This window comes from Homo sapiens, chromosome 4, assembly GCF_000001405.40.
Source record: "Homo sapiens chromosome 4, GRCh38.p14 Primary Assembly".
NCBI lineage: Eukaryota > Metazoa > Chordata > Mammalia > Primates > Hominidae > Homo > Homo sapiens.
The window spans coordinates 26,898,285-26,912,057 of record NC_000004.12 but is presented as its reverse complement, the minus strand read 5'-3'; the positions used below and the strand labels follow the sequence as shown (position 1 = coordinate 26,912,057).

Below are 13,773 nucleotides of genomic sequence, written 5' to 3'. Positions count from 1 at the left end.
TCTCGAGAAAATTTTCAGGTGTCATTTTTCAATATATCAAAGACCTGATTCAAACTCAAAAGGAAAGTGAATAATGTCTTCCTTCTCTTCTGATACCCTCTCTAGGGCAAAGTCTTTTTCATATTCCTAGTATTCCCTTATATTTCCAGTATCTAGCATACTACAAACACCTAGCACATAACAGGATTAATGGCTATTTCTCCAAAAAGAGTAATGCATAAATAATAAAAGCTGCTGCATATTTTTTAGAGAAAAATGAGTTTCAGCCTTTTATACATGTTACCTGTTACATGATGATAGGCATTCAAAAAATACTAATATTTATTGAGAGCATATATTACATGCTAGAACAGCAAATAAGAAAGGGAAAGTTGTAACTGGACTAGATATACCAAATGCTATACCAGGAATGCTATAAAAATGCAGGAAGAAGACTCTAGATAATCTCTGATTATCTATTCAGACTTTTCAAAAGTTCAACAATTAAAGGAGACAGACTTTACCAACAGAGGGCTGAGAAACCACTGCAGATGTTCTCTAATTATGGCTTAAGTACTATTCTAAACAGAAAATACAGGACCTTTGGTGAAAACTCCTTCTGACTGATGACTGCCTCTTAGAACTCTGAATCTCTGTAATCACTCACTTTGCATAAGAAGTACCTGCTAATTTACCTGGACCCTAGCAAAAACAAAGTAGTTTCCCTGATTGTTAGCTAAAAGTTCCCCTAAATGATTGCTAACTTCATCTATACCTTTCAAATGTTTTATTTCATTTTTTTTATTTTATTTCATTTCATTTTATTTATTTATTTATTTATTTATTTTTTGAGACACACTGTCGCCCAGGCTAGAGTGCAGTGGCATGATCCCAGCTCATTGCAACCTACACCTCCTGGGTTCAAGCGATTCTCCTGCCTCAGCCTCCTGAGTAGCTGGGACTACAGGCGCCCACCACCACGCCTGGCTCATTTTTGTATTTTTAGTAGAGATGGGGATTCAGCATGTTGGCCAGGCTGGTCTCGAACTCCTGACCTCAGGTGATCTGCCCGCCTCAGCCTCTCAAAGTGCTGGGATTACAGGCGTGAGCCACTGCACCCGACCTCAAATGCTTTAAACAGACTATCATACAAACTCAATTCCTTAGGTCCCTTCCCACCTTCCAGAGACATTTAAAAAGTTACCATATTCTGATTATTTCACTCCTACATATTTCCCCACCTGTACCCCACCACACCACCACCAAGCAACTTAAATTCCTGCTGATCTCAGAGCCTCTCTATAGGTGGGAACCAGAAGGTAATGCCTCTACCTCAGCAACTGTCTTATTAATATGCAATTCATTTACTAACATACTCCTCTATCCAAAAAGTATCTACACTTATATTCATGGTTAACCAATATGCTCCTTCAGTGTATCTAAATAAGCGAGTAGGTGTATTCATACAGCTGTATTTATCTCTATATTCACTGACAGCTATCTAATTTTTTTATTTTAGTTTGGCTTTTTGTTTGTTTTTTGTTTTTTTGTTTTTTTGAGACAGTCTCACTCCATCACCCAGGCTGGAGTGCAGTGGCATGATCTCAGCTCACTGTAACCTCTGCCTCCGGAGTTCAGGCAATTCTCCTGCCACAGCCTCCCAAGTAACTGGAATTACAGGCGCTCGCCAACACGCTCAGATAATTTTTATTTTTTTTAGTAAAGACGGGATTTCACCATGTTTGGCTAGCCTGGTCTTGAACTCCTGACCACAAGTGATCCACCTGCCTTGGCCTCCCAAAGCGCTGGAATTATAAGCGTGAGCCACCGTGACCAGCCGGCTTTCTAATTTTCTCTACTGTTTTATACTGTAAATTCCTAGAAAACAATGATGTTTCTGTATATAACATTGTAGCATCTATCATTATCTTAGAAAATAGTTGACTAGGTGCAGAAAAAGAAAGTTAACAGGTGCATGCAAATTTCTTGACTCCTGGTTTCCAGGGATGCTATTGAAAATTTAATGAAAAATGTCTTAAGCAAAAGATTTGGGTACACACATATATAAAATCACAGAAGCAGTTTTCAACTTCTCTCCAAAGATGATAAAAATCTCACTGACTTATACAAGTGAAACCAAAGTGACCAAAATAATTAAGAACCAGGATTCCAAGCAGCACTGGCCCTTTTGAGACCCTAGCTCATGCTACTAACATTTTCATTAACCACGTTATGAGCACAGAGCAGCGGAAGAGCTTTGCTTATTTCTATTTATTTTGTGTTGTTTTGGAAGGCAGAATATGGTAATTCCAAGCTACAACCACAACATTATGATGTACGCAGTGCTACTGAATTGTATGCTCAAAAACGGTTAAAATGATCAATTTTATGTTACGTATATTTTACCACAATAAAAGCTACAACCAAACACAAGCTACAGTGAACAAAGATGATTAATACTATCTTAACTATATCAACACTAGAGAAATAAAGAGAATATTGTTGTTAGTTCCAGGCATTGATCCAAGTGCAATACGTTGTTTTACTTCTCTCTCAGTACAAGGACTTTTAACAACAATCATGCAAAATAAAGTAAGTTTCACAATTTTACAGATGAGAAAGGTTGAATACTCCATAGAGAAAAAAAGAACTTTCAATTCATTCTCACCCTGCCACTTACTATATAACTTCGGGAAAGTTATAACTACTTTGCCTTAATTTCCTCACCTGTAGAATGGAAATAATAGCACCCTTGCAAGGTTATTGTTAGAATTACATGATATATCAATGTATAAAACACCTAACAGAGTATGGCACATATTTGTAACTCAATAGATAACTAAATACTATCATGGACAGAGAGGAGTAAGGTGCCTACAGTAATTAGTTAATAAACGACACAGTCGGAATTCAATGCTAAGTCTCCTGAAATCTAAGTCTAGCTTTTTGTTATATTACTGTTACCTTAACAGTTATCAAAAATATCTTTTATTTTCCTAAGAGACAAGGTCTCACTCTGTTGCCAAGGCTGAAGCACAGTGGCGCAATCATAGCTCACTGCAGCCTCAAATGCCTGGGCTCAAGCAATCCTCATGCCTCAATTTCCCAAAGTGCTGGGATTACAGGCATGAGCCAACATGCCTGGCCCAAAAATATCAGTCTTTCATTTAGAATGAAAATTAGACTTTGTTCTAAATCTTTTGACTGATTCCAAAACCAAATATAGTCTAAAATACAAAGAGAGAGGATAAAGTGGAAATAGAGCATTTACTGTATTATATAAAACAATGACTGTGGCCGGGTGCAGTGGCTCACGCCTCTAATCCCAACACCTTGGGAGGCCGAGACGGGTGGATCACTTGAGGTCAGAAGTTCGACACCAGCCTGGCCAACATGGTGAAACTCTGTCTCTACTAAAAATACAAAAATGAGCCGGGCGTGGTAGCATGTGCCTGTAATCCCAGCTACTTGGGAGCCTGAGGCTGGAGAATCGCTTGAACCCAAGAGGCGGAGGTTGCAGTGAGCTGAGATTGCACCATTGCACTCCAGGCTGGGCGACAGCAAGACTCTGTCTCAAAACAAGCAAACAAACAAACAAACAAAATGACTGGGTGCTTTACTTGATTATCTAATTCAAATGCTGTGTTAGTCTCATACTACCACTTCTCATGATGACTAAACCAAGATTCTCATAGGAAAAGCAATTTGCCCAAGGTTAAACACCTGGTTAACTGTTTTGTTGAAATTCAGCCCACGTCTGTCCAAATCCAAAGAACTCTATCTTTCCCTATATCTCACAACCTGTCAAGAAAAAGGTTTTCTAGTTTTCAAAATACCCAAAAGAGAATATTCTGAAAGTAAATTCCAAAACAGGAACTCTAAAAGCAGGTTCATTAAAGCTATCACTTCCCAGAAGTATAACCTCCAAAGCACTACTTTCAAAAAGGAAATGTTCATTTGAGACGTAAGTGTTGCTATGTGTTTACTGGATTTTTTTTGAACAATTATCTTAGAAAGTTCTTAATGTTTCTAAGTGGAAACATTTCCAACTGAGAAGCAGAGTCCCACCAATTTGGTCTCAGCAACAAAAATGGGTAATTCCCCTTCCGTGTACTGTTCCAAGCTAACAGATTTACAAAGCTATGCTACAATCATAAGGGAAGAGGGGAGAATCAGACATATGTGCGCTGTGCCAGCCACATAGCAAGGGAAATGAGGCCAGACCAGGGACTTGATGTTCAATGATATTTGTAAATTAAGTATTTTTAAGTTGGGAACTGCTTATCCAACATGGAAAGAAACAGCCAACCAATCCCTTTTCTCATGAATAAACCTCCAAAAATAGAAAGCCTCTGTTTTGTTTTGTTTTGTTTTGTTTGGGGAGGAGGAAGTCTTACAAAACCCTTCCATATTAAAGTACGATAATTTAGCTTCCAACACACAAGGCTCTAAAGTAATGCACAGTTGCAAAGTGTACTGAAATCTTTATTGATAATTAAAACATCAAAGCAGAAAATGTAATTGTGTCTCTCAATGTTAAGGAAACTATTTTCCAAGTTTTTTTTAATACCCTCTTTAAGACATCCAAAAGCAAGAGGGAGAAAATGGAGACTTCAGTACTTGTTAACAGCCTGCAAAAAGCCTTCACGTAAAAGCTGAATCAGGCAAAGCATCTGTTTAATAGTTTAAGAGAGAAGTGACAGCTAACTCTAAGATCACTAACTTCATTCTTCACTATGGTCCTTTCTACCTATCCTTTTTCACATAATGTTTTTATACCATATAGTTCTAACTATATGTTCTAAGAACTATATAGTTCTAAGTGTTTACTTCAACTCTTCCATGATAATGATTTAGGGACTCACTCTCTCAACACCAAGTTTTACTGAAAATAACACTAAAAATAATGAAATAATTTAATTAATACATCAAAATATATGCATATAAGTTAATATTGCCCTTCCTATTCAAAAAATTCTCCTTAGGAAGATACCCGCACTTACTCCAACAACTCAGCCACTATCCCAAATGCCTGAGACTCATTAATTACCCAAAACAATTACACCAAAGCACATGCAATGTTTTCTGCATATTCTTTTTTTTTTTTTTTTTGAGACGGAGTCTCACTCTATCGCCCAGGCTGGAGTGCAGTGATGCAATCTCGGCTCACTGCAAGCTCCACCTCCCAGATTCACGCCATTCTCCTGCCTCAGTCTCCCGAGTAGCTGGGACTACAGGTGCCCACCACCATGCCTATCTAATTTTTTTGTATTTTTAGTAGAGATGGGGTTTCACTGCATGTGTTTAATAATAGCATAATTTCTTACATTCAGTGTGCCTTTAAACTTTGGAAACTGCTCAGGCAATCAATCTACAGAATATCATTTCCAGTCCAAATGAGGTATCACATGCTAGGAAAGAAAAACAGATATTCTCATGTGGTCCACAAACTGTAAAATAAATTCCAATTCATTAGCCCTCAAATTTACTAACATTTTATATTTTTTAGAATATACTATTAATATCTTAAATTTTTTTTGAGATGACACTGCATCTTCATTATGATCGCACTAGTCCAATCATTATATCACCTATTGCTGAAACTCTGCAATAGCTTTTCAAAAAAAAAAAAAAAAAACAAACAAACTTGTATTTTGGGTTCATGGATACATCAGCAGGTTTGTTACACAGGTAAACTGTGTGTCACAGGGGTTTGGTGTACAGATTAGCATAATACCCAGGTAATAGGCAAAGCACCCAATAGGTGGTTTTTCAATCTTCACCTCCCTCCCACCCTCCACCCTCAAGTTGACCCAGTGTCTGTTGTTCCCTTCTTTGTGTCCATATGCACTCAATGTTTAGCTCCCGCTTATAAGTGAGAACATACAGTATTTGGTTTTCTGTGTCTGTATTAGTTCGCTTAGGGTAACAGCCTCCAGCTCTATCCATGTTGCTGCAAATGACATCATCTTGTTCTTTTTATGGCTGCACAGTATTCTATAATATCTTAATTTTTAAAAAATAATGATCAAAAAATAACTTCATAAATTTCTGGATTAAAGATATAAAACTGGCCTTATATGTATTTTTAGGTCTATATATTTTATGTATATATATACATATACACACACACATAAACAGCCAACTAAACCAGTTATTAACAGTTAAATACAAAAACAATATAATTTAAGATACAGTAATCCCTTTTATCTCATACATTTTCCAAAATGCTATTTTCTCTGTGTGAACTAAAAGTAATGCAAGTTCTTAATGTATGTGTTTTGTTCAGTGCTATATTCCTACCCAGAACACCACTTGGCACATAGCACTCAGTAAATATTTACTGAATAAATAAATCAGCATAGAAATTTAATACATAGCCATGGATTTAGCCGATTTATATTTTTCTATGTTAATTATGCTACAAAATTTTCTCTTTTTTATAAGGATCAACAAAACACGACCAAGACTGTAAGAAAGGACTAAGCACATCAGTTGACAGCAACTCCATTCCTAAAACTGCTCAGGTCAAACACTCTTTCTTGATTATTCTTCCCACACACATCCATCCAACTTCAGGAAATCTGGCTCTATCTTCAAAATATTAACCAGACTCTGCCCTTTACTAAGCCACCAACACCTCTTGCATAGATTACTGTCCCTCACCCTTTGATGTCCTCTCTTGCTTCCTTTCACAGCTTAACCCATGGCCACTCATCATCACCCACCTACAAACACCCTCGACTTCCTTGCCCTTCTCTTATTTCATCATACTTGGCTAGCAAAGCCATAACCTGGTTAAATCTAATTCGTCAACTACTTTTTATCTCAATATGGCTAATCATGATGCTTTAAATTAATAACCACAGACTGCAACTGAACCCTTAATGCTGCCAGCCAAACATACCATAACTTTCTGGTCTATTCACTCTCCCATTCTATTTCGTATCTTCTTGATCCTCAACTCCAATGCCTCCTTCCTATCTTTTTTCACAGTGAAGACTTTGCTTCCTATACTTCACTGAAAGAAAATATTTTTCATGAAGCTATTTGAAGAGAACTTCCATAAACTCCCACAACCCACTCAACCACCATCCACTGTCTACACTTTCAAACTGTATCTCTGCCCACTGACACAGATAAATTATCCAAGTTTCTATATGTCAATCCCTACACTTGTAAACTAAATCTCTTAGCCCCTCAAGGGTATCACTCCAGGAACTAATTCATCCTTTACATTTTTCTCACAGTGAATTGTTGCCACGGGCATATAAACATGCTGGGCTTTTGCTCCCATCCTTTAAAAAAAAAAAAAAAAAGACAAAACACTCTCAACCCCACTTCACTACTTCTCCATTTCTTTCTTCCCTTTGCAGAAAATCTTAAAAATATTCCCGCTGGCTGTCTCTAATTTTTCTCCTCCCTTTCTCTCTTAAAATCCACTCCAGTCAGGCCTCTGCTCTCACCACTCCACCAAAACTGGCCTGGTCAAGATCACCTATAACCTCAACATTACTAAATCCAATGGACAATCTCATTTCTCATGTTATCGTGCCTATAAGTAAGCATTTGCCACAGCTGATCATTTTCTTCCTCATTTAATTTCCAAGACAGCACAATAGCCTTGTTCTCCTTACTGACTGCTCCTTCTCAGTCACCTCTAACAAAGGGCATGAGAAAACTTTTGGGAATGATAATTATGTTCATTATACTGACTATGGTGATGGCTTCATGAGTATATACATATATTGACACTTAGCAAATTGTACACTTTAAGTATGAATCATTTATTGTCTGTCAATTATACCTGAAAAAATGTTTAAAAAACAAAACAAAGAAACAAACAAAAAACCTGCCAGCCTGTACATGCCATTCCTAGTCTCCAAGATTGCTCAGAGATCATGAAAACAGAATTATTAATGAGAACACATGGACACAGGAAGGGGAACATCACACTCTGGGGACTGTTGTGGGGTGGGGGGAGGGGGAGGGATAGCATTAGGAGAGATACCTAATGCTAAATGACGAGTTAATGGGTGCAGCACACCAGCATGGCACAGGTATACATACGTAACTAACCTGCACATTATGCACATGTACCCTAAAACTTAAAGTATAATAAAAAAAAAGTTGTTTTTAGACCCTAAGATTAAAAAAAAATCCTAGCCACTGAGAACAGTTAGCTCCTTTCTCATCCAATTATCTCTCAATAACTTGGCTCTACCATTTTCAATTAAACAATTATTTTCCTAACAAAAAAAAGAATCAGATGGGTGGTATCGAATTTGACACTTTTTGTCATCTATTATCATTACAGGATCAGAAATAACCTGCTGCCTTCTTTGTTTTTTCTCCAAACCTAACATCTGAAAATGTCTTTTATTATTCTTAGTATTCTTTGCAGGCCTCAGCTGAGCTAGCCTTTAGTATTATGAAGACAGCTGTCAAGAGATTTGTGCCATTTTCTTATTTATTATAAGTTATATATCCTCTTTTCTATCTTTTTATAATTTTATGCTCTTGTCTCAATTAACATTTACCAGTATCAGGTACTTCAATAAATGCCATTAAGAAACAAGCAAATAAGTAAAAGAGTACTTGAAGCAAACAGAAATAACTAGTTCATTAAAATGTTTTGCAAAAATCAAGTACAAGTATGCACGTGTGTATAACAAAACCGTTCAGCTAGTGAGACTTCACGAAAATCAAATGTCCAAGGAGCCTCTCTGGTTACAACTCCAAGCATTTAACAGAACTCATTAGCAATAAGAGATGCAAGGAGACACATGTTGGACAATGTCAGATTTGTATTTTGTAACAAATATTCATACAGTTGCAGAGTATGGATTTAAGGGCAACAGACTAGAGGTAGGGGGCCAAGTTATTTTATTATCCCAAGCAATAAAAGTCTAAACTAAGGCTGTGTTAATGAGGTAAGGCCAAAAAAAACTTTTTTACAAGGAACATTTTACTATTTCGTAGAACTCTCACTAGTTCCACTACAGTATGCAGACTCCATAATACAGAGATGTCACCGAGCAGGAAAAGACCTTATTCATTATCAAGCACAAAGACGGCTACCATTTCCCTTTGTATTTTGTAATATTAGAGAAAGACAAATCTAGGTAGTTAAACTAAATTTATGAATGATTAGATACTAAAAACTAAACACATACTATCACAAACTTTTATTTTTGGCCCCATAAACAACAGGAAGAGTGTTCTTACGGACAATCCAAGAAAACTCCACCTACCACATAGTAGACTGGAACTCTGCAATAGTTCCCCTCCGGCTCAGGACATGAGGAAAGGACAAGATGCAGTGTGGCATCAAATGGATAGAAATGGGCCTTGGAGGACACACTGTCAAAAGACTGACAATTACCGCATTCTTCCTGCCTGCAGAACTCAAATCAGAAATTTCTAAGAAATGATTTTGAATGATCTAAAATGAAAGAAGTCATTCATAAAACAGTGCTGATCATTTCAAAGTAATATTAGCTTTGCTTCCTGAACTGCTGTTACTGTGTAGGTCCTATACTGAAAAGTCTTATTCCATTATTACCATAATCCAGGCATAAATTTGGCTTCCATCTGGAGACACGGCTTTGTCAAGAAAGACGTGATTTCTCTCCTAAATGTAGCTATACTCTTAACACTTAGGATTAAAGTTCTTTGCAGATCAGTAATTTGAAGGTAATCACAAGACTAGGACAATCTTCTAAACACAAACATTTGGCTCTTACTATTTCTGACAGCGTGAGAAAATAAGTGAGAACGACATCTGCATATTTTCTAATTATTAAAAGTTCAAAGCCAGTTCCCTCCTCTCCCACTCTCTACCACTTCCCTAAGAAACAACCTCATCCCTTCTCCCGAAGTGTTCCTGTAATGGTCTCCCTATCTCTAGCACCACCACGCTACATTGTATTCCCCTTTACAGCTACCATATCTCTTCAGAATATGAATCTGGTCACATCACCACTTCTGTTGAAACCCTTCAGTGCCTCCCATTCCCCCAAAAAGAATGAAGACCAACCTCCACAGCATGAAATACAGGCACACTGTGATCCCTGAAGAATCACTTCGCCATTGATTCACTCTATAAAGCCATCCTGACCTTCCTAACAGTTAGATGCTTCCTACTCTGCACTCTTAATAACATTTTATGCATAACTATTATAGTTGCAAGTAACTGTTTACCTATCAACCCATATCCTCCTCCAAATAATCAGTCTCTCAAAGGGATAAGAAGAATTTCACAAAGACCACCAAGTCTGGAGTCAGACCTAAGCTCAAATCGCAATTCCACTATTTATTAAAGATGTAATCTTCGGCAAACTTCTTAACATCTTTGGATCTTAGCTTCCTCCACCACAAAATTAGCATAAAATATTCACCCTCATGGGTTCCTGTGAATAAATTTTAAAAATAAAGAAAGAATAATAAATAGTTCTAGAAAACCACAGATTTAATATCGCTAACAACATCTATAAGGCCCAAAAAGGAAAATTTATTTAAAGGACAAACTCTTCTCTGTGGCAGACGCAAGTTATACCTTTGCAATGAGGATATGTAATAAATGTTTTTAAAAGAAAATGTTCTGATTTTCCAAGGAAAAAAGTCACAAGCCTATAAAACAGCTAAAACAGCATTAAATCTTCCCTTCAGCTTTAAGTCAATAAAAGTATAATGAATTTAATATGTTTATTGAATCCTCATAGAAATTAGTATTTAAACAGAAAGAACATAACCTCAGTTCCTAGAAATTTTTTATTCAAAACACTTGACAAATTTAGCATTTGATGGTGTTACCTCCAAAAAAAACTACAAGTGTGTTGAAAATTACCTAAGTAAAAATTTTTAAAACTTACTGAAAATGTGCAAAACATATTTTCTACAAAGCTACACGGACAAGCACGCTTGAGATTTTAAAACTGCCTCTGCAAACTTGGGCCCCTCCTTGTAGCATGTCCTAGGTGTCTCCCCATCTCTCAGGCAGCAAACACCCTGGAGAGGAAACGCAAGAAGGGAAGGAAAGAGGAAATTCTTAAATGAGATCAGACACAGACCAAGGGACAAGGATCAGCAACTGAAATATGTGCTGTGCCTTTTGAAGGGTGTGGGGAGAAAAGACAATGCTGGAGGGAAGAGGGGTCTGCAGTCTGGGATTTCCTTTTCCTGCTCTTGGCTTCAGTAAGCTACAGCAGTGACAGAGAGGAATGAAGTCCCCTTCCAGGGGATAAGACACTACAAACACTGTGCAATATATTGAGCCTTCAATACTGAGATAATGATAAACCCTTCCATTTGTAGTATCGACTTCAAGAATTTAAAGACAATATTAATTTTCCAGAGTACACCTGGAGAAAATAAGGAATTAAGTAGAAAAACTGGATTCCAAGAAACTATTTCTAACAATTAGCTTGGAAGTTTCATGCCAATTATAAATTAAGATTTTACTAAAATTATACTGAAGTAATAGTTTTTAAAGTAAAATTTCAACTGAATTTCTAGTACAAAGCCATGCAGTAACCACACAAGACTTTACTTCTTACTGTATTAGATTAATTTTAATCCCTGAAAAGTGTAACAAGGCTCTCTTTGTCTAGATTCTGAGCGGGAAAAAAATTCAATAATTACTTTGACAGCAGTTTTAATTATTAGTAACTTAAGAAACTAAAGTCTTAAAATTCCTCTTTCCCCCTAATGTCATGTACACTTTTCTACTTAACTCTTGGGGATAATACACTCAACTATGTACCTGCTAAAGTCAAAGCTTCTCTCAATTACCTAGTATTTCATTTGAAGAAAGGCAAAACTGAAAAAGCCCACTGCTTTGGAAAGCAGGAAGACTGGGTTGCAAGGTCAGTTCTGTACACTAGCTACTTAGAGATAACCTTGGGCGTTTCTCTAGCTTCTGTGGCTTCTATTTCCTATAAACTGGAGGGACTCACACAGATTTCAAAGGCTCCTTCTACTCCCTCTCTTTGAACATTTTGCCTACATTCCCTAATTTCAAAACTTTCCGTTTATGGTTAATAAAAGACTTCTCGGTTTATCCTCATGAAAACTATATGAAATAGATAGATACTTGTTTTACAAATGCAAAATGTGAGGCCCAGAAAATAAGAGACACACTCAAGACAGTAATTGGCAGAGCCAGAAGTAGAACCTAGCTCAAAAGCCCTTCAAAGATTCCTTAAAAATTCATTATTCAGAAATTTTACAAGTGTGAAAAGCTTAAAACACAAATCTAAACAATTGTATTAAAGTGATATATAGTACAAAGTCTATTTTTAAAATGTAATTTTATTCAATATGCTAAATAGTTGTTTACAGACAAAATGTATGTAGCATGTACCTCAAAAAATAGACACAAAACAGATCAATTCAAACTACTCAGGAAAAAGTATTCATCAGTGACTGAATTTTTCACTTATAATTATCAGCTCTGTCATCAAAGAAAGATACTTTTACCCTATATTCTTCAAAGAACTAAAAACTAAACTATCTAGGAATTTCTCCCACAAAGAAACTTCTAAACCTTGATTGTTTCATTAGTGAGTTCTAACAAAAATCAAGGAAAGAAGAATTCCACTCTCAAACTCTTCCAGAGATTTGAAAGAAGAAACTTACTTAAAAAGGTAGTGAAACACTTATACCAAAACCAACAGAACAGTACTAGACACGAAAATTATAAAGCCAGCCTCATTCATGAACATAAATGTAAAGCTCTAAAAATATTTGTAAATTAAATTTAACCACAAAAAGGATAATAATACATCATGACAGTTGAGATCATTCCAGGGACAGAAGATTGGTTTAACATTAGAAAATAATTTAACATAATTCACATTAACAGGTTAAAGGTAGAAAACTCATGTAATCATGGGAATAGACGTAAAACAGTAGCCCATAAAATTAAACATTAATGCTTGATAAAATGTATAGAAATATAAGGGAATACCTTAATCTTGATAAATAATCTATAGCAAAATACAGCCATTAGTGAGGAACAAGAGAAGGGTTGTATTATCTTCATTTCTATTCAAACATTTACTAAGGTTCTATTCTACAGTAAGGAAAAAAAAGAAATCCAAGGTATAAAGACTTGGGATTAAAAAAAAAACTGTCATTTGCAGAGGAATAATCTAGAAATAAAATTAACAAGAATTTAGAAAGATTGCTAAATTTTTTTAAATGTGTAAAAATTAATTGTATTTCTAAATGCCTGCAGACAGAAAATGAATTTTTTAATGTCATCAAAATGCATAAAATGCCTTTTTAAAAATTTACAAATTCAAAATGATACATAAAGAAATGAAAGGAAAAATATCCCATTGGTGTCTTCTGTAGATTGCAAGGATATCAACTTATTAATCTAAAAATTGATACATAAGGGTGAAAAAAATGAGCATTTCTCCTGCCTTTTATCAACTGTATTTCATGAAAACCAAAATACTGATCAAAGTTCTTGACAGTCCAGCTACTAAATGCAGAATAAATCAGAAAATCACTATTTTGCAACACCAATATATTGGATCTAGGCAACAATCATCAATAGTGATGATTAGATGAAAGACTAATGGAAAACCACAGCCACTACATGAAGGATAAATGAAAACTTTTTAAATGGAGGAATGGAGTTGACAATACCTGAACCCACTGATCAAACCTAGTAATTCAAAAAGTGGGAAAACCAAACATGATGTGACTCCTGATGTAATATAACAAGAAGTACACAGTACTTCTACGAGGTATTCTTGTCTAAAAACTTAAGACCAAATCTAA

At 36.0% G+C, this 13,773-nt stretch overlaps 1 protein-coding gene across 3 annotated transcripts in view, besides 1 other annotated feature; it reads right to left on the bottom strand.

The window, feature by feature from the left end:
* STIM2 (stromal interaction molecule 2) overlaps positions 1 to 13,773 on the bottom strand; it is a 164,541-nt gene that overhangs the window by 113,324 nt on the left and 37,444 nt on the right. The gene's annotated exons all lie outside the window — the stretch shown is intronic.
* Positions 231 to 865: an enhancer, noted in NCBI's record as "OCT4-NANOG hESC enhancer chr4:26912815-26913449 (GRCh37/hg19 assembly coordinates)". NCBI's record gives its function as "activates a minimal SCP1, AML or CMV promoter by ChIP-STARR-seq in naive H9 embryonic stem cells {active_cell/tissue: H9 hESC(naive)}" and the evidence as "EXISTENCE:reporter gene assay evidence [ECO:0000049][PMID:30033119]".